Raw genomic sequence first — 23,304 nt, forward strand, 5'->3', positions numbered from 1 at the left:
CATCACCATGCCTGGCTAACTTTTTGTATTTTTTGTAGATATGGGGTTTCATTATGTTGCCCAGGCTGGTCTCAAACTCCGAGGCTCAAACGATCCTCCTGTCTCAGCCTCCCAAAATGCTGGTATTATAGGCATGAGCCACCGCACCCTGCCAGTCTCTTTTCTTTTCCTTCTTTTTGAGACAGAGTCTTGCTCTGTCGCCCAGGCTGGAATGCAGTGGCAGTGGCACAATCTAGGCTCACTGCAACCTCCACCTTCTGGGTTCAAGGGATTCTCCTGTCTCAGCCTCCTGAGTAGCTGGGATTACAGGCGCGTGCCCCCATGTCTGGCTAATTTTTGTATTTTTAGTAGAGACTATTTTGGTATAGGGCTTCACCATCTTGGCCAGGCTGGTCTCGAACTCCTGATCTCAGGGGATCTGCCCGCCTCATCCTCCCAAAGTGCTGGGATTACAGGCGTGAGCCACTGTGCACAGCCCAGTCTCTTTTCTTTACGGTCCCAGTCAAAGTACTTATTAGCTACTGAATCCCTATTCAATTCTGTATCGGTAGAATGTCTTCATTTTAAATATTAAAAATTTTCCATACTCACTTTTTAAACTAAAAACCTAGTTTATTATATAATAATTAAAATTAAAATATGCATTTTAATTATTTATATTATTGTTATATATTATTTATATTATTGTTTATATTAATTATTTATATTATTGTTACAATGTAACAATATTTTCCACACTGTGTTTAATGGAAAAATGATTTTCAGTGTCTCAGGTTTTTGATTAAAATTAAATATAAAATTCAATTCCTCAGTCACACTAGTCACATTTCAAATGCTCAGTAGCCACATTTGTCTAGTGGCTAACATATATTCGACAACACAGCTCTAGAATGTCTCTTAGTGGCAGAAGCTGAGCTATGATTCAAATCTTGATTCTAAGTCAGTATCCCTTCCTCTACCCCTCATTGCCTCTCAAGCAAGGAGTTCTGGCTGCTAGGAGACATCCTTGTGGCCTCCCAGGTTCAAGGTCTATAAACTGGGTCAAGAGATCCAACCAAGACTCCAGGCAAGTAAGAGGCTGAAAGGAGAGGCACGGGTCTACTGAGAAGTGAAAGGAGACAAGTGAAGCATAAACCACTTCTGATAGTTGTGGTCCAAGGACACACAAAGACCTAGGCTCAATAAAAGCAAGAAAAAGCAGAAAAGAATGGAGCTTCAAGTTCAGTTCTGAGATGACCGTTGTCCAAAAATGAGGTAAGAGGAAAGGCTGAAAGCTGGAGATGCCCTTCTATTCTTTTATTCTCATGAGTTTCTCTCCTTACTCTGCAGTTTGTCTGCACCTTCCAGTATTTGGTTCCTCCAGATGGCCCATCTCTTCTCTTTTCTTTTAGTGTTTGTGCCTTCTAGGTGGGTTTCTATTTTTTCACAAGTTGTACAGTTCCCTACGTTTTGCAAACCTTTCCCTCTCCTCCCTGGACTAGTGCCTTTAGGTCCAGTCCATTCAGAAAATCACTCCATTATTAAAAATACTCAGAATGCACTTTCTACCTAAATTGATTTTTATTCTACTTGGGGTTTGTTGGATTTCTTGAATGTGTGAGTTTATAGTTTTCATCAAATTTGAAAAATGTTCTGCCATTATTTCTTCAAATAGTATTTCTGTTCTCTCAGCCCTCTTTTAGGATTTTAGTGACACTATTTTAGACCATTTGACTTTTTCTCATGGGTAACTGATGTTCTATTTGTCTTTTTTTTTTTTTTTGATAGGAGAATATGCGATTGGGTAACAAGAACTATAAAAAAACTATTGTCAATATGTTTAAGAATTTAAGGGAAAACATAAAAAATGTTGAGGAACAAAATGGAAACTATAAAAAAGAATACAATGGAATTTCTAGAGTTGAAAAGTACAATATCTGAAATTAAAAATTCATTGAATGGGCTATCTCACTCTGTTCCCCAGGCTGGAGTGCAGTGGGGCAATCTTGGCTCACTGCAACCTCCGCCTCTCAGGTTCAAGTGATTTTCATGCCTCAGCCTCCCAAGTAGCTGGGACTACAGGTGCATGCTGCCACGCCCAGCTAATTTTTTTGTTATTTTTAGTAGAGACAGGGTTTCACCATGTTGGCTAGGCTGGTCTCAAACTCCTGGCCTCAAGTGATCCTCCTGCCTCGGCCTCCCAAAGTGCTGGGATTACAGGCATGGGCCAATGTGCCTAACCTGTCTTTTTCTCTTTTCTTCTAGTTTTCATCCTCTCTGCCATATGGATAGTTACTGTTGCTATATGTTCAAGTCCACTGATCTTTTCTTCTTCATTACTTAAGCTGCTGTTAAGCCCATTCAATAAATGTTTTATTTCAGATATTGTACTTTTCAGCTCTAGAAATTCCATTGTATTCTGTTTTATAGTTGCAATTTTGCTCAACATTTTTATGTTTTCCTTTAAATTCTTAAACATATTGACAATAGCTTTTTTTATAGTTCTTGTTACCCAATTGCATATTCTTCTATTATTTCTGGGTCTGTTTCTGTTAACTGATTTTTTTTCTCTCGTTTATGAACCACATTTTCCTTCTTCTTTGGATATCTAGTAATTTTTGATTGGATGTTGGATACTGGATTTCTATATGGCTTGGTGTCTGGTCAAAACTAGCAGATCAGTTTGATCTTTTTTGATGCTTGCTTTTAAGATTGGTTAGGGAAGGTCTAGAGTAGCCTTTACTTTAGGGCTAGTTTTGCCCTACTGCATATACATGAAGCCCTTCTGGGGTCTTTTCTGAATGCCACAGGGGTTCAACAAGGTCTCTCCATTCTCCCTGGTTGGAACTAGAATGTTTCCCAGCCCAGTGGGAGCTCAGGAAATTGTTTAGCTTACAGCTCCCTAAGAGTTTTTTTAGTTATTTATTTTTGCCCAGTGTCATGGAGTTGCATGGACTCAAGGGGGCTCAAGATTTCTGGAGCTCTTTCTCTGCATACCTCTGTCTTCTCTGGTATTCTGCCTCACAAATTCCAGCCTCCTCAGTCTCCTCAAACTCTGATCTTTTTTGTCCTCCTCATAGCAAGATTGTCATGTCTACTTGGGTCCCCTTCTTTGTGGTCTGGAAAGTGCCTCCAGGCAGAAAGCCAGGAATATTGTAGGGATCTTTTCATTTCTTTCTCTTTTCTCAGGGATCACAATTCCTCACTGTGTATTGTCCAATGAAAACAACTGTTTCATACATTATGGCCAATTTTCTAGTTGTTACCGGTGAGAGGGCAAGTCAAATTCCAGTTAATTTTCATGTCTGGAAGTTGAAGTTTCTTCATAGCAATCAGTTTTTGCACTGCTGGAATTGTTCTTGATAAGTCAATACAGGTATTTTCCAGAGAAGTCCAAGTGTCTTCTCTTTCTTTCTTCCCTGCTGCTACTGACAGATTACTTCCTAGTCTATGCTTTTTCCCCTCAAGCATCTAAGGAATTACATTTCCCTTGTTTTGTTACAGCAACCCATCTGTTCCTCTAGCTTTCCTCTGCTGGTGCTACTTCAGTGTCACTTTTCCTGTGATGGGTAATCTCTGGGGGTAGTGCTTGAGGCTCTCCATTATTCAGCTCCTTTTGGGGATTCCTACTTTGGTGCATGAGGCTTTGCAGTCATCTGCTGGCTGGATCAAGTGCATGCTGAAAAAGACTTGCTCCATATTCAATTTCCCCTTTTGTAAGTGCCCAAATATCAGCTCAAGCTCATCATTTCTAAAATATATAGACCCTACTTTCCTCATTCCAAAATTAAAAAAATATATATTATACATACACATCATTTCCTACATACAAACTGTAGAGAATAATATAATAAACATATATCAATCCAACATCTAGCTGAAAAAAAAAAAGCATTCAGATATAGCCGAAACCCTCAGTGTATCCCTCTCATTTATATTTTCCTTCCTGCCTTCCTTCTAGGAAGTAACCAGTTTTCGAATTTGGTGTTTTCAATTCCCATTATATATACAGGAATGTTTCGGAATATATACATATATATATAAAATTGTGTGTGCATGCATACATTTACATGCACTATATATCCCTAAACAATAAAAAGTATTTTACATGTTTTTAGCTCCACTCATTCTTCCATCCAGGGTTATAGCTTTTCTGAGCTTCTGTGTCTGAATGCAACAGACAAAACAAAGAGACACTCAACAGGACTCTTTGCCAGGGGCTAAGCGTTTTCCCAGTAGAGTGGTTATCTTACGGGGGTGGGGAGAAAAAGGAGCCAGTACAACTGCTTGACTCAATATACAGCCATGATCCTCTTAGGAGAAGGGCAATTCTGGCTACAGCAAGAGTTTGCCATTTGGTTTTGTTGCCTGAACTCATGGCAGAATTCTGGGAAGAACAAAAGGGTTACAAGGAAGAACTAACTGTGCAACTACTACTGATGCTACCACCGCCTCAAGTACCATCACATCTGTCTCACATGCCCATTATGAGTCAGGAACTGTTGTAAGTGTTTTTCAAAGCATTATCTTCTGATTACCAAAACAGTCCTCAGAGTAAAGAAACTAAGGCTACAAAGAACCTTAACCATACCTTTTTCCTGAATATCAGACCCTCATTCCAAGTGTTAATGAGCATCTTTATTCAGAGAGTGCACAGACATGTTAAACACATGTCTAAAATTTTGCCCTGCCTGTAGCTTCTACCCTCTTTTCCTCCCAGTTAACAGATGTGAGATTAAACCTCTTAGATCAAAGTCTAATCAATTGCTGTCCTGCCCCAAAGTCTTCAATAGCTTCCCATTACTTGAAGAATTAAGTACAAACTCCTCACCCTGGCATTTAAAGTCCTCTGCAGTAGGTCCCCGACCTATGTTCCTAGCTTTATCTCCTACTTTTTTCCTATACCGCAGCCAAACCAAACTATTTGCTGTTCTCCAAATATGCCACACATATTCCTCTCTCTGTGACCTTGCTCATGCTGTTTCCCTTACCTGAATGTTCTTCTCCTTTCCCCTACCTAGCTACCCACTGAAATTCTGTGCAATTTTCAAAGTCAATTTTAACCTTCCAGCTGCTCCTCTGTGTCCCTTGTTCTTCATTCTCCAATCATAACATTATTTTTCCTCCTTTAGCCCCAATTGCATTTTGTTGATACATCTTTTCTCTTCTTGAATTATACAGTGATTCTCTGTGTGCTTGACTTTTCTTCATCATGAAACTGTAAACTCCAAGAGAGCACAATCTGTGTCCTCCTCAACTTTGCTTCCCTAGCACCCAGAAGGATATAGTGCTGTATTAAATCATTGGATTGATGTAGTACTTTCTCTCTTAAGGCCACTATGCAAATAATTCACACTGAAACATGCCCAATGTGTATAAGGACTGAAATTGCATCTTTCAGTCTGAAGGGCTAAGGTCATTCTCCAGTCCTAGCCCATATCCTTGACCCAAAGTAAGCTGAGAAACAATCACTGTAATTCAGCGTGACGGAGTGGGACTTATCTGCTGAGTGTAAGAAGAGGCCTTAACTAATCAAGAAGTTGGGAAAGCTGGAAGACTTTGCACAGATCTTGCCTGAAACTAGGAGGAGGTGTTCAGTTGGTAAATTGATTTTTTTCTTCCTCTATAAAGGCATCATAAAAAAGATCTAGGTATAGTTTTGCTTAGAAGGTGGTTAAGAATTTAGAATGCAGGGTGAGTGTGTGTGTGTGTGTCTTGTGTGTGTGCACATGGTGAGCCCAGAGTGACGGCTGCATTGTTCCTGATCTTTGGCCCACAGCCACAGCAGATACAAGGGGTTGCCCTGGGCCTGGTCCTCTCCTGTGCAGTTCTACTGACTGTTTGGCACTGGAGAATGCAGAGGCACATGACAGGCCATCTTTTGCCCATTTGTTTCTGTCATGATTTTTTTTCCTTAAAGAGGAAAAAGAGGCTTGTGTTGTTTGTGTAATTTCCTTCTTTGCTTTGGCCTACACTAGGCTGTCAGCCCATTCTAGTCGTCTTCTTTCTCCAAATTAATATACAACATGTCATCACCTCTTTTTAAAAATAAAGATCCAGCTCTTCAGCTTCAACGACCTTAAAAAGCTCTTTTAACTCAACATTTCTAACCTCAGACTCAATGTTTGCTTCTCTTTCCCTTCCTTCCTCTGACACCCCTCTCTACCTCCTCCCACAAAAGAAAACTGGATCAGCTACTGGACTTTTGTTAAAGGCCCCCAATTTATTTGGTCACCCAATTCAAAACCTTGGCATCATTTGTAATTTTCCTCTTTGACTTGCCACCTCCCTCCTCCACCTTTAGTCAAATCTTTCCAGTGTAGTATTCTTTTGTAGTATCTCTCACATCTATTCCTAAGGCCATTTTTAGTTCAAGCCACTCATCACCAAGAAATGGAGGATAGGATAGGGGGAGGGGACTGGAGTATCACTTGGGATTTTTTTGAAACTACACGTTTTGCCTCTTCTACCCCAAGATTCTCATGTCCACTGGGGGGCCAGGAAGTTATAGCTTGGAAAAGCTCCATGGGTGCCACTGACACACACTGCTTAGCACCACTCATTCAAGCCCTGGCTGCCTGGACACCTGTAATCATCTCCAGCCAATCTCTTTGGCTTCCATTGCCTTCACCTGGTGATCTTAAAACACTACTTCAACATGACATCTTCTATTCAAATAGTCTCCAGCATCTCCCCACTGACTTCAGAATCAGGTCCAAACTTGCTGACACTCCATAATCTGATACTATCTTCTTTCTCTGCAGTGTCCTCAAGTAAGGGTACCCCAGGGTTTTTTTTTTGTTTTGTTTTGTTTTGTTTTGTTTTGGGGGGGATGGAGTCTCACTCTGTCACCCAGGCTGGAGTGCAGTGGCGCGATCTCGGCTCACTGCAAGCTCTGCCTCCCGGGTTCACACCATTCTCCTGCCTCAGCCTCCTGAGTAGCTGGGACTACAGGTGCCCGCCACCATGCCTGGCTAATTTTTTTGTATTTTTTAGTAGAGACGGGGTTTCACCATGTTAGCCAGGATGGTCTCGATCTCCTGACCTCATGATGCACCCACCTCGGCCTCCCAAAGTGCTGGGGTTACAGGCGTGAGCCACTGCGCCCAGCAACCCCAGGGGTTTTCTCACCCTCTTTCCTTATTCTATACACTCCACCCAGGAGAACAAGGGTATTCTTAGAGTTCCATCTCCTATCTGTATACTGATGACTACCAGATCTCTACCTTCAGTACAGATCTCTTTCCTGCAAGCCTGTACTATCCAACTGCTTATTCTCAAAGTGTCCAACTTATTACGTCCACCTCTTCCTCCCTTCCCTGTCTCACTACATGGCATTGCTGCCCACCAGTCACTCAGTCTGGATACCTGGGAATCACCCTTTCCTCTTCTGTGTCCCATACCCTTATCCATGCCCAATAAGTCACTAAGTCATTTTATTTATTTACAATATCTCCTGAGTCTGATCTTGCCATTCCATCTCAGATGCCTGACACAGAGTCTTACTATTTGTCTTCTGGCCCACAGGTCTCCCTTTCTCTGGCCTTGCCCTCTGTAATGAGTTCATCCTCCACACTGCCAACAGTGTAATTTTTCTAGAATGCAAATCTGATCATGCCACTCTCCTGCTTATTAAAATCCTTCAGTGTCTCCCCACTGACTTGAGGATAATGCCCAATAACTGCACACAAAGCCCTTCATGACCCACTCTGCCCTCCTTAATAGACACACAGCTTCTGCCCACTGAAGAAAGCTTATACCAAATTCCTTTGGTTTCCAGATGTAGCCCCTTCTCTCAGGGTTCTGCACCTTATAAGTTATATTTCCACTGCTTGGAATGATTTCCTTTTTTTTTTTTTTTGTCTTCCTAATTCCTTCTGGTTTTTCAATTCTCAGATCTAGAGCATCTTCCTCTAGAAAGCCTTTCTTGCTCTCCACGCCAGAGATTCTGTACTTTCTCCTCTGTGCTTACCTCTGTTACAGCATTTATGAGACTATCTGTGGTGGGTATGGGGTTTGGAGGGCTTTTTCTTTCCCTCTCCAGACTCTCTGAAAGAAGGAATTGTATTTTTTTTCCTTTCTATACCCAGAACCTAGACCAGAAAACGGCCAATAATAAACACTGAACGTTTGTTGAATAAGTAAATAATTGTACCTTTTCCAGCTTTCCCTCCCACTGTTCCCTCCAAAAAGCATCTTCTCCAGTCAATACATCTTTTAACCTCCCATCTACATACTTGTTCTTTCCACTTCCACACCTCGATGTCATTTCTCTCTTTGTTGACTGGTGGACAGCAATATAGTGAGACAGAGAGGGGAGGAGGAGGTCAACATAATAAGTTGGAAACTTGGAGTTTAAGAGGCATGCAGTAAGCAGTTGGATAGTGCTTTCCCTTATCTCTTATCTTTTTCTCTATTTATGTAATTATACCTGAACCTCCAGGTCAAGCTTGAATTCCGTCTTCTCCACCTGAGCACAAATACCACCTATGACCTCCCTCCAAATGTACCATCTTGGCTCTCATCAAATAGTGTTCTGAATGAGAAGTTATCTTTTTGTGAATGCATGCCTCATCTCATCTCTCCCCTAGAGCTTGTGCTCTCTTAGGGTAGAGGCCACAATGTTTAGCCATGGGCCTTGCTAATAATAGGCCTTGAATAAATGTGTTGCTGCGTGTTTAGTTCATAGAGTGACTAACCATCCTGGTTTGCCCAAAAGTGAGGGGGTTCCTGGGACACTGGATTTTCAGTACTAGAACTGGGAAAGTCTCTAGCAAACCAGGATGAGTTGGTCACCCTAGAGGTTCTCCTAAGCAGCTTTGAAGGTCTGTGTGTGTAGTCACATGGTGTTTCCTCTGGTGCATATTCCCTGCTTTGTTTCCACCGTTGGACTTTAATTGATGTGAGCTTTCACCATTGGAGACAAGCTCCATGCAGGCTGACTTCGTCTCATTTACCACTATACTCCAAGCACCTGGAACAGGCCAGGCTCATTATAAGAAGTTAATTAATGATTTTTGAGTGAATGAAAAGAAAACATTAAGCACCATTACATCTCTTGATAATCTCATTTTCCTTCTAGGTAGTAGGCTCCAAAGTTCCATAAACACAAAATTTTTAAAGTGCTAGGCAAGAACAATGATCTTATGCTAATCCATTCTAATTTCATTTTTTTGTAAATGTTTTTATACAGAGTTAATAAACAGAGCCTTGAATTTCCACTGATTTTTATAAGAATGGAGAACTCCAGAGATGCTAGAATACAAAAAATTGCTCCTGAAAATGGAAGAAGTCACCAAGACCAAACTCCCAAGGGAAAAGACAGGAGTGTCACATAGATGAAAGAGACTTTAAGGGGGGATCTCATTTGATCTCTTTCTGCCAGATTCTTTATATGAATGGTGCCTAGCATATAGTAGGTGTTAAATTTATGGTAGAGATGATATGTTTGTTTTATTTTGAGACAGAGTCTCGCTCTGTCCCCCAGGCTGGAGTACAGTGGTGCGATCTCAGCTCACTGCAACCTCCGCCTCCTGGGTTCAAGTGATTCTCCTGCCTCAGCCTCCCAAGTAGCTGGGACTACAGGTGCCCACCACCACGCCCAGCTAATTTTTGTATTTTTAGTAGAGGTGGGGTTTCACTATGTTGCCGAGGCTGGTCTCAAACTCCTGACCTCAGGTGATCCACCCACCTTGGCCTCCCAAAGTGCTGGGATCACAGATGTGAGACACTGCACCTAGCCAAGATTATATTTACACTTACCTACAGACACACAAATTTTTGAAAAAGCCATATTGTTTGCATAGAAGTCAAAGCATAGGGTCTGAAAACATTAATTTCCAATTTAATAATTCCTGAAAAACTCTTAGTACTACCAGTATTATCAAATTGTAGACAACACCTTACATAGAAGATAACAGTGAGTTTGTAGGATTTTCAAAGTAATTTGATCCAAAATAGTAAGCCAATGAGAGAGAATACATTGCTGACATTCAGCAGCTAGGTATTTTAAGACAGGGACTGCCTCAAAACCTACTTGATGCTGACACAGAGTCTTACTATTTGTCTTCTGGCCCACAGGTCTCCCTTTCTCTGGCCTTGCCCTCTGTAATCAGTTCATCCTCCATACTGCCAACAATGTAATTTTTCTAGAATGCAAATCTGATCATGCCACTCTCCTGCTTATTAAAATCCTTCAGTGTCTCCCCACTGACTTGAGGATGAAACCCAATAACTGCACACAAAGCCCTTCATGACCCACTCTGCCCTCCTCAATAGATGCAGCTTCTGCCCACCGAAGAAAGCTTATACCAAATTCCTTTGGTTTCCAGATGTAGCCCCTTCTCTCAGGGTTCTGCACCTTATAAGTTATATTCCTACTGCTTGGAATGATTTCCTTTTTTTTTTTGTCTTCAGATGGATGAAAGCAGAAGACCACTTATATATTTACATAAAATATGCATAGTAGAGGAACATGAAGGAACCATATAGTACTTTTGCAATCATTGCTTTTTATGATATACCCAGAGGACAGTTATGTGTTGAAGTTAATCTCTACTTTTTCTTTGCTCATCCACTTCCAGGTCAAATTCTGATACAAGGTGTGGCATAATATATTCTCCTCTTGCAATGAAATTTTACTTTTTGGTAATAGTTGTGTGGAATAAGTAAATTCATTGAGATACAGAAATCTTCATAGTGATGGAGAAATGTGGTAAGCTAATTTCTGAATGGCAGGCATTTTTCTTCTTTTTTTGGTCTTCTCCATATGATAATTTTGTTTTGTTTCTTTTCTTTTCTTTTTTTTTTTTTTGAGATGGAGTTTTGCTCTTGTTGCCCAGGCTGAAGTGCAATGGCGTGATCTCGGCTCACTGCAACCTCCGCCTCCCGGGTTCAAGCGATTCTCCTGTCTCAGCCTCCCAAGTAGCTGGGATTACAGGCACATGCCACCACGCCCGGATAATTTTTATATTTTTAGCAGAGACGGGTTTTACCATGTTGGTCAGGCTGGTCTCGAACTCCTGACCTCAGGTGATCTGCATGCCTTGGCCTCCCAAAGTGCTGGGATTACAGGTAAGAGCCACTATGCCTGGCCTTTGTTTTGTTTCAAGACTGGTTTCAAACATTACTTTTTCTGTTAAATTTTCTCTTTCTTTCCAAACCAAATTAGATCCTATATTTCACTGTTTTGCCACACCATAAAAAATATTTCTGATAATTGTTTGTTCATTTGTTTATGTTGTCCCTCCTCACTAGATTGATTTTAAGGCCCATCCTTATCTACCTCTTCATTCCTAGTGACTGGCATATTGCCTGACAAACAGAAGGCACTTGGAAAGTGTTTGCAGGGTTGAATTAAAGTGTGGAGAGTTTGCTAACATCAGGTTCTTTCGTCCCACTCTGCAAGGGCAAGGGTATATTGGCATGAGTTGAGCCCCTTCAAACTATGTCCTGGTTCCTCATCTATACAGGTAAAGAAATGGGTAGACAAGGGGCTATTGAACATTTATGATTACAGCCCATTTAGATGGGGCAAAAGATTTCATAGTTATGGAAAGATGATTCAGTGATAATCAGAAAGTATAAATACAGGAGCAGGTTTTCGGGGATTAATAATACCTCTGCTGTATCAACAGCCCACATTCAGTCTATCTGCAAATCCTATATACTCCTCGTCCAAAATAAATCTCCAGTCTAGCCATCTCTACTGCCACTGGCCTAGTCTAAGCTCCTGGTTGACCAACACAATAGCCTGTACAATAGCCCACAACAAATGAGGTGAATCATAATAAGCTTAACTAAAAGAAGTTTAAAGTTAAAAAGCAAAAATGGCAGCAATTGAAAATCATGATGTCTAATCATATCAGTATGTTCTTGTGCTTGCAAAATGGCCAGATAGACAATATGGAATTAGAATTCTTTAAAAAGATCTAGAAAAGTAGATAGTAAAATGGTTACTCTAGTAAAGCAGATTAATAGATCTACCCTCTTACTTAGTTACCTTTTTGTGACAAGAGCAGCTATGATCTACTTATTTAACAAAAAACGCCTAATATAATACAATTTTTATTAACTTTCCTCCTACATTAGATCTCTAAACTTATTCATCTTACATACATGCTGTTTTGTATCCTTTGACCTACACCTCCCTGTTTCCTCTTCCTCACTGCATCCCACTGTTTCATTCTCTGTGTATTTGAACTCCTTTTTTTTTTTTTTAAAATCTACACATAAATGAGATCATGCAATATTTTTCTGTATCTGGCTTATTTCATTTAGCATAATGTCCTCTAGGTCCATCCATGTTGTGGCAAATAGCAGGATCTCCTCTTAGAGGGCTGAATAACATTCCATTATATATATATTATATATATAAAATGTGTCTGTATAATGCATATAATGCATGTGTATATATATATTATATATATAAATAATATCCCATTATACACACACACGTACATACCATTTTCTTTATATTTTCGTCTATTGATGGACATTTAGGTTGTTTCCATGTATTCCCTATTGTGCATAATGCTGCACTTAACATTGGGAATGCACATATCTTTACCAGTGGTATTTCATATTCTTTGGATATACATCCACTAGAAGGATTGCTGGGTCATGAGGTAGTTCTATTTTGAATTTCTTCAGGAACTCCATGCTGTTTTTCATAATAATTGTACCAATCTACATTCCCACCAATTGTGTACTAGGGTTCCCTTTTCTCTACACCCTCGCCAACATTTGTTGCCTATTGTCTTTTTGGTAATAGCTATCCTTATGGATGTGAACTGATATCTCCTAGTGGTTTTAATTTGCATTTCCCTGATGATAGTGATATCAAGTACATTTTCATATACCTGTTGACCTTTTTTTTTTTTTTTTGAGACAGAGTTTCACTCTTGTTGCTTAGGCTGGAGTGCAATGGTGCAATCTTGGCTTACTGCAACCTCCGCCTCCCGGGTTCAAGCGATTCTCCTGCCTCAGCCTCCCAAGTAGCTGGGATTACAGGGACCCACCATAATGCCTGGCTAATTTTTTGTATTTTTTTTTAGTAGAGACGGGGTTTCACCATGTTGGCCAGGCTGCTCTCGAACTCCTGAACTCAGGTGATCCACCCACCTCAGCCTCCCAAAGTGCTGGGATTACAGGCATAAGCCACCGTGCCCAGCACCTGTTGACCATTTTTATGTCTTCTTTAGAGAAATGTCTGTTCAGGTCTTTTGTCCATTTTTATTTTATTTATTTATTTGTTTTTGAGACAGAGTCTCCCTCTGTCATCCAGGTTGGAGTGCAGTGGCACTATCTCGGCTCACTGCAACCTCTGCCTCCTGGGTTCAAGTGATTCTCGTGTCTCAGCCTCCCAAGTAGCTGAGACTACAGGTGTGCACCACCACGCCCAACTAACTTTTGCATATTTAGTAGAGATGGGGTTTTGCCACGTTGGCTAGGCTGGTCTCAAACTCCTGGCCTCAAGTGATCTGCTTGCCTTGGCCTCCCAAAGTGCTGGGATTACAGATGTGAGCCACTGTGCCCAGCCTTGTCAATTAAAAAAAAATTTTTTTTTTAGGTTATTTATTTTTCTGCTATTGAGTTGTAAGAGTCCTTTATAAATTTTGGATACTAACCCCTTACCAGATATGTGGTTTGCAAATTTTTTTTCCATTCCATAGGTTACCTTTTCATTTTGTTGATTGTTCCCTTTGCCATGCAGAAGCTTTTTGGTTTGATGTGTCCCATTTAGTTTTTTTGCTTTTGTACCCTTTTTGATATAATATAAAAACAAAAATCATTGCCAAGGCCAATGTCAAGGAGCATTTTCCCTATGTTGATTTTAAGATGATTTTAGTGTATGGTATAAAGGTCCAATTTCATTGTTTTCATGTGGATGTATGGTTTTCCTAGCATCTTTATTGAAGAGACTATCATATACGGTTGAATTTATCTCTGGGCTCTCTATTCTGTTCCACTGGTTTATGTGTCTGTTTTTATGCCAGAACTATTCTGTTTTGATTACTATAGCTTTGTAATATACTTTTAAATCAGGAAGTATGATACCTCTAACTTTTCGTTTTTCAGTATTGCTTTGGCTATTTGGGAATTTTTGTGGTTGCAAATGAATTTTATTGTTTTTTCTATTTCTGTAAAGAATGCCACTGGAATTTTGATAGGGACTGGGTTAAATCTATATATTGCTTTGGATAAATCTATATATTGCTTTGGATGAACATTTTAACAATATTAATTTCCTTGCTGGAATAGCAGTTAGGATTTGGTGCTCTCTCCTGCAGCTTCTTGAAGTGTGACTTTGCTAAGCCTTAAGCAATTAAACACATTATATCTCTGGAAACATATATAAGAAACTGATAGCAGTGGTTGTCCCCAAAGCGGGGAACCAGATGTTGGGAAGCAGGGGTGGGAGTGAGACGTTTCCTGTTGCCCTTTTACTCCTTCTGAATTTTAAATAATGAGAATGTATTTAAATAAATAGAAATGAGGCACTAAAAATTAGTGTATTTTTATAAGTCAGATACTATCTTGATTTAGATTCTAGTAAAGTGGTAGTAAGATGCAAACATTTTTAAAAGATATGAGATATTTTTTATTTTTATTTTTTGAGATAAAGTGTCACTCTTTCTCCCAGGCTAGAGTGCAGTGGCACCATCAGTGCTCACTGCAGCCTCGACTTCCTGGCATCAGGTGATTCTCCCACCTGAGCCTCCTGAGTCACTGGGACTACAAGTGCACACCCCCACCGCCACCTAATTTTCTGTATTTTTAGTAGAGATGGGGTTTTGCCACATTGCCCAGGCTGGTCTTGAATTCCTGGGCTCAAGTGATCCTCCGGCCTTGGCCTCCCAAAGTGCTGGGATTACAGGCATGAGCCACTGTGCCTGATCATGAGAGAAGTTTTGTGTAAATTTGGAAAATACTACCACTCTTTGATTCTGTAGATCCGGCACCTTGGTCTGGTGTTCTATTGGAGCAGTTTGGGAATCATGACTCTTAAGGAAAGAGAATGTTGACAGTCAAAACTTTGCTTGGATATGCTTTAGAGAATTTCACAGTGATTTGAAAAGAACACTCTCTGTGATGTGCTCTTTAAAACCATTACACAACCATTATTTTGATGTTGTGGATATTACTTTTTCTCGCATCATTTTTCTCAACAAAAGGATAAGGTCAGTAAGTGTATATACGTTTATAAACTAAGGAAGTTAAGTAATGTAAGCACAAACCATCCAAGGAATTTGTTAGTGATGCAATCCTGGCCTCTAAATTGCTCTTGACCAAGGAGCTTCACATATGGGAAGGATCAGAAATTCTATGGCATGGAATCAAAGACACTCTTCCTGCTTCAGGGGCACATATAGATTAGTACTGTCATTGCAGTTTCCTATTAGATGATTCTTAGTGACCAAATCTCTGTCTAGGACCCAGATACCTTATTTACTCAAAATAGTGGACGGAAAATAAACGTTTGATATACATGTATGCATAATATTTTCATCTACATAATTTTTATTTCCCTGAGTGTTTTTTCTTGGGTCATATTTAAAACTCATGCCAGCCCTGTGAAGAAGGTTGTCATTTTTTTTTTCTGATGTACACATGTGGAAAAAGTGACTGGACAGAATCATTCTATTGATAAGTAGCACAGAGTCAGGCATTTTGATTCTTGGGCTTTTGTTCTTCCCCCTGGAAAATGCTTAGTGACTTGATCTGGAATGCCATCCTCTCTTTTCAGGTTTTGACTTGATCTTTAAAATTATGCTCAAAATTCTTCCCCAAGAGGCTGTTTCACCAAAGCCCAGATGGTTTTTGCTGGTTCCAAGACTCCCAAAAACTTGTTTCCAGTATTTTCTATTATATCCAGTATCTATTATTTATCACATTCCAGTATGAACATGGAATATGATTTATTGTATTGACTTACAGAATTTGCTTTATTGTATTTATTTTTTTCTTTTCTTTTTTTTTTTTTCTTTTTTGAAACGGAGTCTCACTCTGTCACCCAGGCTGGAGTGCAGTGGCGCAATCTTGGCTCACTGCAACCTCCGCCTCCCGGGTTCAAGCGATTCTTCTGCCTCAGCCTCCTGAGTAGCTGGGACTACAGGCTCGTACCACCACACCTGGCTAATTTTTTATTTTTAGTAGAGACAGGGTTTCACCATGTTGGCCAGGCTGGTCTCAAACTCCTGACCTCGTGATCACCCACCTCGGCCTCCCAAAGTGCTGGGATTACAGACGTGAGCCACTGCGCCCGGCCTGTACTGATTTTCTTTCTGCTATTTGTCTCCCTTTCTTATTTTATGTAAATTATTATAAATAGTACTACTCCTGACTTACAGACATTTACATTCTGTTTTTAATAACTTCTAGATGACTAGAGAATAGTAGTTCCAAACTTTTGTGTACATAAGAATAACCTAGGGAAGTTATTAAAAATAGACTTCTCAGTGCTCTTCCCATAGGTTCTAGTTCTGTTGGGGGGAGGCGGGGGAGGTCCAGGAATCTGCATTTTCAATAAGCACCCCAGAGGATGCTGATGCAGGTGATCCAGTAACCACGCTTTCAGAAATTCTGCTGTTGAGAACTAAAAATGTGATTGTTATCCTCTGCTCAGTAGGGGAAACAGAGGTGTAAAATAAAATAACTGAGTTCTTGCTCTCTTGGTGTTGACAAACTTTCAGCTGTGAGTGGTGTGGACACTAAATGCAATAGGAATACAAAGAAGGGAGGCATCACTTCTGGCTGGATTGTCAAGCTTCATAAAAGATAGGGGGTTTGAAGAAAAGAAATTTCAAAAAGATGAAAAAAAAATGGGCCGGGCGCGGTGGCTCACGCCTGTAATCCCAGCGCTTTGGGAGGCGGAGGTGGCCGAATCACGAGGTCAGGAGTTCGAGACAAGCCTGGGCAACATGGTGAAACCCCGTCGCTACTAAAAATACAAAAAATTAGCCGGGCGTGGTGGCAGGTGCCTGTAATCCCAGCTACTCGGGAGGCTGAGGCAGGAGAATCGCTTGAACCCGGGAGGCGGAGCATGCAGTGAGCCGAGATTGTGCCACCATTGCACTCCAGCCTGGGTGACAGAGCAAGACTCCGTCTCAAAAAAGAAAAAAAAAAGTGGATTATTTCAAGATGTTGGAACAGCAAAGACTAAGTGTTGAGGATGCATAACTTCTTTTAGGGGATCAGTATGTGGAATGATGTGCCTGAACTAAAAAGAGTTTTTGTGGGCACATGTAGGAATTTACACTTGGAAAGACAGGAGTCAGATCGCAGAGAGTCTTGAATTTGGACTCTATTCTGCAGGTATTGGGTGGTTCCTCAAACACGCAGGTAAGATAAAAGTGATCTTAAAAGATTGATGTGGCAGTGAGTTTGAAAGCCGTGAACTACGTTTGGCGGTCTTTGTACACATTGGGAGAAACGCCAATTGTGAAAGTAGATTTAACATGATCTGGAGCTTGACTATGTGAGAAAGCGAAAAGTGTCAGAAACGCTGCTGAGGTTTGAACCTCCTTGACTGGGAGGATTATGTACAATTTCACCGCCCAGCAAATCTGAAGGAGGAAATGTTTTGAGGATAGTATGTTTGGTTCTAGGTCTAGAATTCAACTTCCTGCCAAATTTGGAATCTTCTGTACATATGCATCAGGTGGCTTCGTTTAAATATACGACAATTACTTTTATTATGTTGAAAGGAAAAGGTCTGGAGCTCGAGGGAGGGGATTACAGATTTGGGTCCATTGGCGCAAAGGGAGGCTGACTGTTCAGATTAATAATTATTAACGGCCACCGTATGGAAAGCACTGCACGAAAAACTAAGATGACCAGTCCTCGTCCTTAAGAAATTCAAAATCTAGACGGAATCTCCAAGAAAGAGATTCCGGTAAGAGTACATGGCAAGCCTCCATATCCACACACCACTGACCAATGAATTTGTACTCTTCTCGTTGGAGTAGTTGAGGGCCTTTGGCTCAAGGAGGGGTGAAAATTAGCAGGATACTAAATTGGGAATGAGAAATCTCTTTTTAGAGGGCGTGGACTTGCAGAACTCTTTGAAGCAGCAGATGCTAGACTGCCCAAACCCCACGCGAGAGTAGCTCTCTGGAGTTGCGGAGTCCGAACCTCCCAAGAGCTACAAATTTATTCCGCAACTACCAATTTTGCGGTTTGGGGCCAGTAAGGCGCCAAGACCCGCCCAGGTGTCCAGACCTCGCAACGATTGGACGAGCTCACCTTCTCGCCTTCCCCGGGCCCCTCGCCCGTCAATCACACTGCTTGCTCGCCACCTGACCTCTGCTGCGCCCCCTTTCAGTGGTGTAACACCTGGCGCTCTTTCGCGCCCCAGCCCTCCGGCGCCCCACCAATCGCTTCAGTTCTTCATTGGCCAGCAGAGAGGTGAGGGAAGGGAAGGGGCGCTCTATTTTGCTCTCTGAACGCACCCTCTCAAGTTTCCCAGTCTTCTCGTAGACGGTCAGGAGAGCAATGACAGCCTGGAGCAGTCGCGCGTGAGCGCAAAAATGCCCGCTGGTGGAGGAGCGCTTCCCCTCCCTCCCAAGCGATTTGCCGCATTTGTTCTGACGCAGGGGCACCCCGCTCGCCGTCTTCACTTACGATTGGCTGTGGCCGAAGCCCGTCACACAGCCCGCCCCACTCCTCTGCCTCAAGAGGCCGCACCTCACGCCGTCGCTGCCGCTTAGCCGTGTGATTGGCTAAGAGGGCTGGCATGCTTTCCCGCCCCCTCCCCCGCCGCCGCACCAAGAGGCGGGCGGGACCCCGCGGAAGTTGTCAGTCAAACTCCTCCTTCCCACCCCTTGCGAGGCCCCTCCCCGGGCCGCGCGCCCTGGCGCGCGCACACGCGCACACACTCCCCAGTCGCCTGTACCAACCACCTTCTCAAGTTGTAGCGGTCGCTCGCCTGGGGTTCTCCGTGGGCGGCCGACGGGCGCGTGGGGGAGGGGGTTCGGGCCGCCCAGCGCGGCAAGGAGCGAGTGTGTGCACGCAGAGGGCCGGGGCTACGGGGCAGCGCCCCGGGCGATGAGGGGCCGGCGTTGACCGGGAAGAGCGGGCACCGCGGCAGTGGCTCCGAGGGGACCCGCGATGGCAGCGCCCTGAGAGGAGGCTCCAGGCAGGGCGGGCTGCGCTGGCAGCGGCCGCTGAGGTGCTGGCCGGCCGGCTGGCTGGCGACGGGGGCAGAAGCGACGAGAGGCGCGCTCGGCACCCGCACCCCCGTGCCCCCGCCTCAGTTGTCTAAACTTCGGGCTCTCTTCCACCCGCTCTGCGCGCCCAGAGTCAACAACTTCTTCACCCCCCTCCGCCCCCGCCCTTCCCTCCGTCAGCCCCGGGAGCTCGCCGCGCGCCGGGGACCAGGAACCTCCAGCGCTGAGATGTGGCCGTGAGGCGTTGGCGGGCGGCGAGGAGAAGCTCGGCGGCGTCCCGGGGCCGGAGGGCCGTGGGGCCGGGGCGCAGGGGCGCGAGCACCCCGCGCCTCTCCCCCGCCTCCTCCTGCCGTCTCCGCCGCTGCCCGTGCCTTGCAAGCAGCAGCCGGAGCTGCCAAGCGTCAGGGCCGCGGAGATGTCGTCGTCGTCGCCGCCGGCGGGGGCTGCCAGCGCCGCCATCTCGGCCTCGGAGAAAGTGGACGGCTTCACCCGGAAATCGGTCCGCAAGGCGCAGAGGCAGAAGCGCTCCCAGGGCTCGTCGCAGTTTCGCAGCCAGGGCAGCCAGGCAGAGCTGCACCCGCTGCCCCAGCTCAAAGGTAACCTCCGAGGGCGCAGCCCCAGCAGCGAGCGCAGGGGCTGGCAACGCTTGCCTCTGCGCCAGCAGAGCCATTTCCTGCTGGGTTTCTCCTGCTCAGTTGGGACTGGTAGTGTGTGAGCCGAGTTCCCCACAATGCCTTGGCGTCACCTCACGCCCTCCTCCTTATTCAAACAGGTTTTCTGTGAAGTCTTGGCTGTTTCCTTCTAATTCCCACCTGAACTCTTTCCATCCTAGGGGAGGCCAACACCCTTCCCCACCTGCGCGCTTGCTTAACCTGCACTTCCTATCTTGCGTCCCGTGAAGTAGAGTCCTTCACTCCTCTTCCAGGTTTGCCCTTTCCCGGTCTTGCTTTAACAACCGCACGAACCTTCCCCGACCTTCACTTTCCCGAGTGTCAGCTCCTCTGTTCGGCCACTTTTAGCTAGTCCTTTACTTTTACAGTTATAAAGCCGTCTGCACCCACCTTCTTCTCAACTTCACTTCCCATTGATTGCCCCTAAGAGTCATCAGACCAGGAATCCGAATGCAAACAACGGTTAAGAGTTAGCTGGCCTTTGGATGTATTTATAAAGAAAAAGCCTAAAATTTGACCAGTGTAGTATCTTATTCACAGGATCGTTAGCTTTAAATGGTATCCTTTAGCTCAAGGAATAGATTTAAAATATTCTGTTGTCTGAGCCGATACACATGGTCTATTTGGAAATACGAAGGAGTAGGTAGTGTTGCTTTGCAGTCGAATGGGAACTTAGTTTGCCAGGCAGTGATTCCAGGGACTTTGTAGGTTTGTACAGGAATTCAAATTGGTATCCGTGCCTAATGCCTTGCAGGAGAACTTGGCACTCTTTTTGGCTCACTTTTCCCACTAGGTTTAGAGGATTTTCGATGTTATTTCCTGGTGTTCTAGTTTATTCTTTGTGTATTACTCATGCTTAATTTTATAATTTTAATGTCCTTGCTTTTTATGAGATAGAAATGTTGGAACAAGATGATAATGCTCCTACATATTTAGATAAAATTTGCAACCTGACGGAAATCCCTATCATCTGATGTTCAGATTTTTCAATTCATTTGAAAAAGCTGCAGCATCCCCTTCAAGGCCAGTCTGGTTCTCATTTGTCTTTGGGCCTGTGAATCCAGCCTTAGTTTGGCAAGGAGTCTAAAGAAAACCCCAGATCAAATCACAGTTGACCTACAACAGCTCCAGAACCCTATTGAGACCCTACCTTGCCCTGACTCTTGGAGTGCTTCTAAATCATGACATCTCACAGTTAGAATCAAACTGGCTTTTGAACAGAGATTTTGAGATATTAGTCTGTGCTATCGAATTTATCATTTGATTGCTCTTTAGCATATAAAAATTGTTAAAATTTACATAGCAAAATGGTAGACTATAATGATAGGCATTGCCAAGACTTTAATTCTTGAATGATGTCATAGCTATAAAAGAATATCGTCTTTGCTATTCATAGATTTTAAAATTTACACTTATTTAAAATATCATAGTTTTTTTATACTACTGATTTTTTTTCTCCCATTAAATTGTCAAACTGTAGTTTGAAGGTTTGGTGCTAGGGTTATTTCATAGTTATTTAATTTGCTTTTTAGTAAGATATTCTAGTTTCTTAGTATTGTACTTCTTAATAGTATACTTTAATAAAAGTAATTGAATATTAAACATTTGGTTGGTTTCAAGCCAGGAGATGCAGCTTTGATAGGTTTTGCTTTTATTTTATTTATTTTATTTTATTTTTTCACTTTCGTTGCTCAGGCTGGAGTGCAATGGCGCGATCTCAGCTCACTGCAACCTCCGCCTCCCGGGTTCAAACAATTCTTCTGCCTCAGCCTCCCAACTAGCTGGGATTACAGGCATGTGTCACCATGGCCGGCTAATTTCGTATTCTTAGTAGAGATGGGGTTTCACCATGTTGGTGAGGCTGGTCTCCAACTCCTGACCTCAGGTGATCAGGCCACCTCAGCCTCCCAAAGTGGTGGGATTACAGGCGTGAGCCACCGCACCTGGCCACATTTTGCTTTTAAAAGCTTGGAAAAATATGCATAGAGTCAGTAATCATCTAAGTTATATGATGTAGGGTTCAACAAGTTGAAGGTGCCATATAGTATTTGGTCACTAGTAAAGAAGAAAGTAAATTGGAACTTTACATTAATTGTAGATATTTGCATGAAAATACAGTATTCATCATAAGGAAAATTATGTATTCAGGATAAATTTATGCAAATTTAATTGAGGAAATAAGACCCTTACTTGGATTACAAACTAATAGGAACAACTTCTTTTACTCCAGATGCCAAAATGCTTGCAAGTGATTTAAAAAAAAAACACCAACATTCAATTGCTTCAATTGGAACTTTGGCAGTGTACTTGATACCACAGTGTTGTGTTTTTTCTGCCAGTGGTAGTTTTTTCCATTTGTGGCCTTCACAAAAACATGGAAAGCCCTTTAGTATGTGTATGAAAGAAAGAATTTTCTTCCTCCTCTGAAATACCATCTTACTGTGGAGTGATTCAGATATCCATGGACTCCAAGATCTTTTAAGTTTCATACCAGCCTGCTTATGTTACTTTGACCACATGCATCTGAACTGGAAAGGTGCCAACTAGTTTTCCTCAAACCATAGTAAGGATTAACAAAATAATCCAGCCTTTTCACCTGTAAGAAGTATTTGTGCAAAATAATTTAGTAAGTGGGTTGTGGGATTTTAATGGCAAAAATGTTCAGAATAAATTGTTTTATAATTGAAAGTATTTAATAAACAACAAGCCTTGTTAAAAGGCTTTTCAGTCTAACCTATTTTGTTTAAGATTCTGGAAGGCTTGGTTTGGTAAAGTAGTTGATGCCTTACATTTATATAACATTTTAGCATTTTAAAATTATTTTACCTTAAAAATTTTCTTAAATTATAAAACAGTATTGTTCATACCAAGTGAAACAATCCAAAGATATGTAACCCTTAATCCCTGTGTATCTCCTGCTTTTTCACACCTAGTAAGTAAGGGTAATACTGTTGTTTGATAATCCATGGCTCATTGTATTTTTACAAACATCCTATTCATTGGGTCATCCCTGAACTTTTTGCAAGGTCAGTATTCCCATTTTATTGATGAGAAAGTTGAGGCCTAAAAAGAATAGTTTCTGGCCTGTGATTACTTATCTGGATGATGTTGCAGCTGACACTGGGACCTAGGTCAAATGATTTCAGTATTTGTGCTGTTAACTGTTTTATGTAAATTTGAAGCAGTGTGATAGAGTTGGGTCTCTGGGGTTAGTCCTGGGTCAAAGGTAAATTTTTAATCTTTCTAAGTCGTTTTCCTTATCTGTAAAATGGGGATAATACAAATCTCCCCAGGCCTGTGGGGATTAAGGGGAATAATTTAAGTGCCTAAAAATAGGCAAAGAATGTTAGTTCCCATTCTCTTAAATATTTGAAAATCCAGATTAAAAATATTTTTAAATGAAGGATTATTAATAGGATTACTTACTTAAATGGTAAACTTTCCTAGTGTATTTAAAGTGATTTTATTTATAATCAGTTTTCAGA

General features: G+C 42.2%; 1 protein-coding gene and 1 long non-coding RNA gene across 2 annotated transcripts in view, besides 3 other annotated features; one reads left to right on the top strand and one right to left on the bottom strand.

The window, feature by feature from the left end:
* The window catches only part of LINC02608 (long intergenic non-protein coding RNA 2608), a 72,020-nt gene extending 53,546 nt beyond the window's left edge, over positions 1 to 18,474 (bottom strand). Inside the window, exon 1 of the long non-coding RNA NR_125984.1 lies at positions 18,432 to 18,474. This is a non-coding gene — a long non-coding RNA (long intergenic non-protein coding RNA 2608). The remainder of the gene's footprint in view (positions 1 to 18,431) is intronic.
* Positions 14,940 to 15,109: an enhancer, noted in NCBI's record as "experimental_3455 CRE fragment used in MPRA reporter constructs". NCBI's record gives its function as "activates a minimal promoter by MPRAs in K562 erythroleukemia cells, with activity observed for both the introgressed and non-introgressed 1:212454914 variant alleles {active_cell/tissue: K562}" and the evidence as "EXISTENCE:reporter gene assay evidence [ECO:0000049][PMID:34662402]".
* Positions 18,376 to 18,455: an enhancer, noted in NCBI's record as "active region_2502". NCBI's record gives its function as "activates an Ori minimal core promoter by ATAC-STARR-seq in GM12878 lymphoblastoid cells {active_cell/tissue: GM12878}" and the evidence as "EXISTENCE:reporter gene assay evidence [ECO:0000049][PMID:35858748]".
* Positions 18,626 to 19,595: a silencer, noted in NCBI's record as "silent region_1793". NCBI's record gives its function as "represses an Ori minimal core promoter by ATAC-STARR-seq in GM12878 lymphoblastoid cells {active_cell/tissue: GM12878}" and the evidence as "EXISTENCE:reporter gene assay evidence [ECO:0000049][PMID:35858748]".
* PPP2R5A (protein phosphatase 2 regulatory subunit B'alpha) overlaps positions 18,863 to 23,304 on the top strand; it is a 76,444-nt gene continuing 72,002 nt past the window's right edge. The window contains exon 1 of the mRNA NM_006243.4: positions 18,863 to 19,744. Within this exon, the coding sequence (NP_006234.1) occupies positions 19,564 to 19,744 (181 nt within the window). The 5' untranslated portion in view covers positions 18,863 to 19,563. The remainder of the gene's footprint in view (positions 19,745 to 23,304) is intronic.

This window comes from Homo sapiens, chromosome 1 (genome assembly GCF_000001405.40).
Source record: "Homo sapiens chromosome 1, GRCh38.p14 Primary Assembly".
Taxonomy (NCBI): domain Eukaryota; kingdom Metazoa; phylum Chordata; class Mammalia; order Primates; family Hominidae; genus Homo; species Homo sapiens.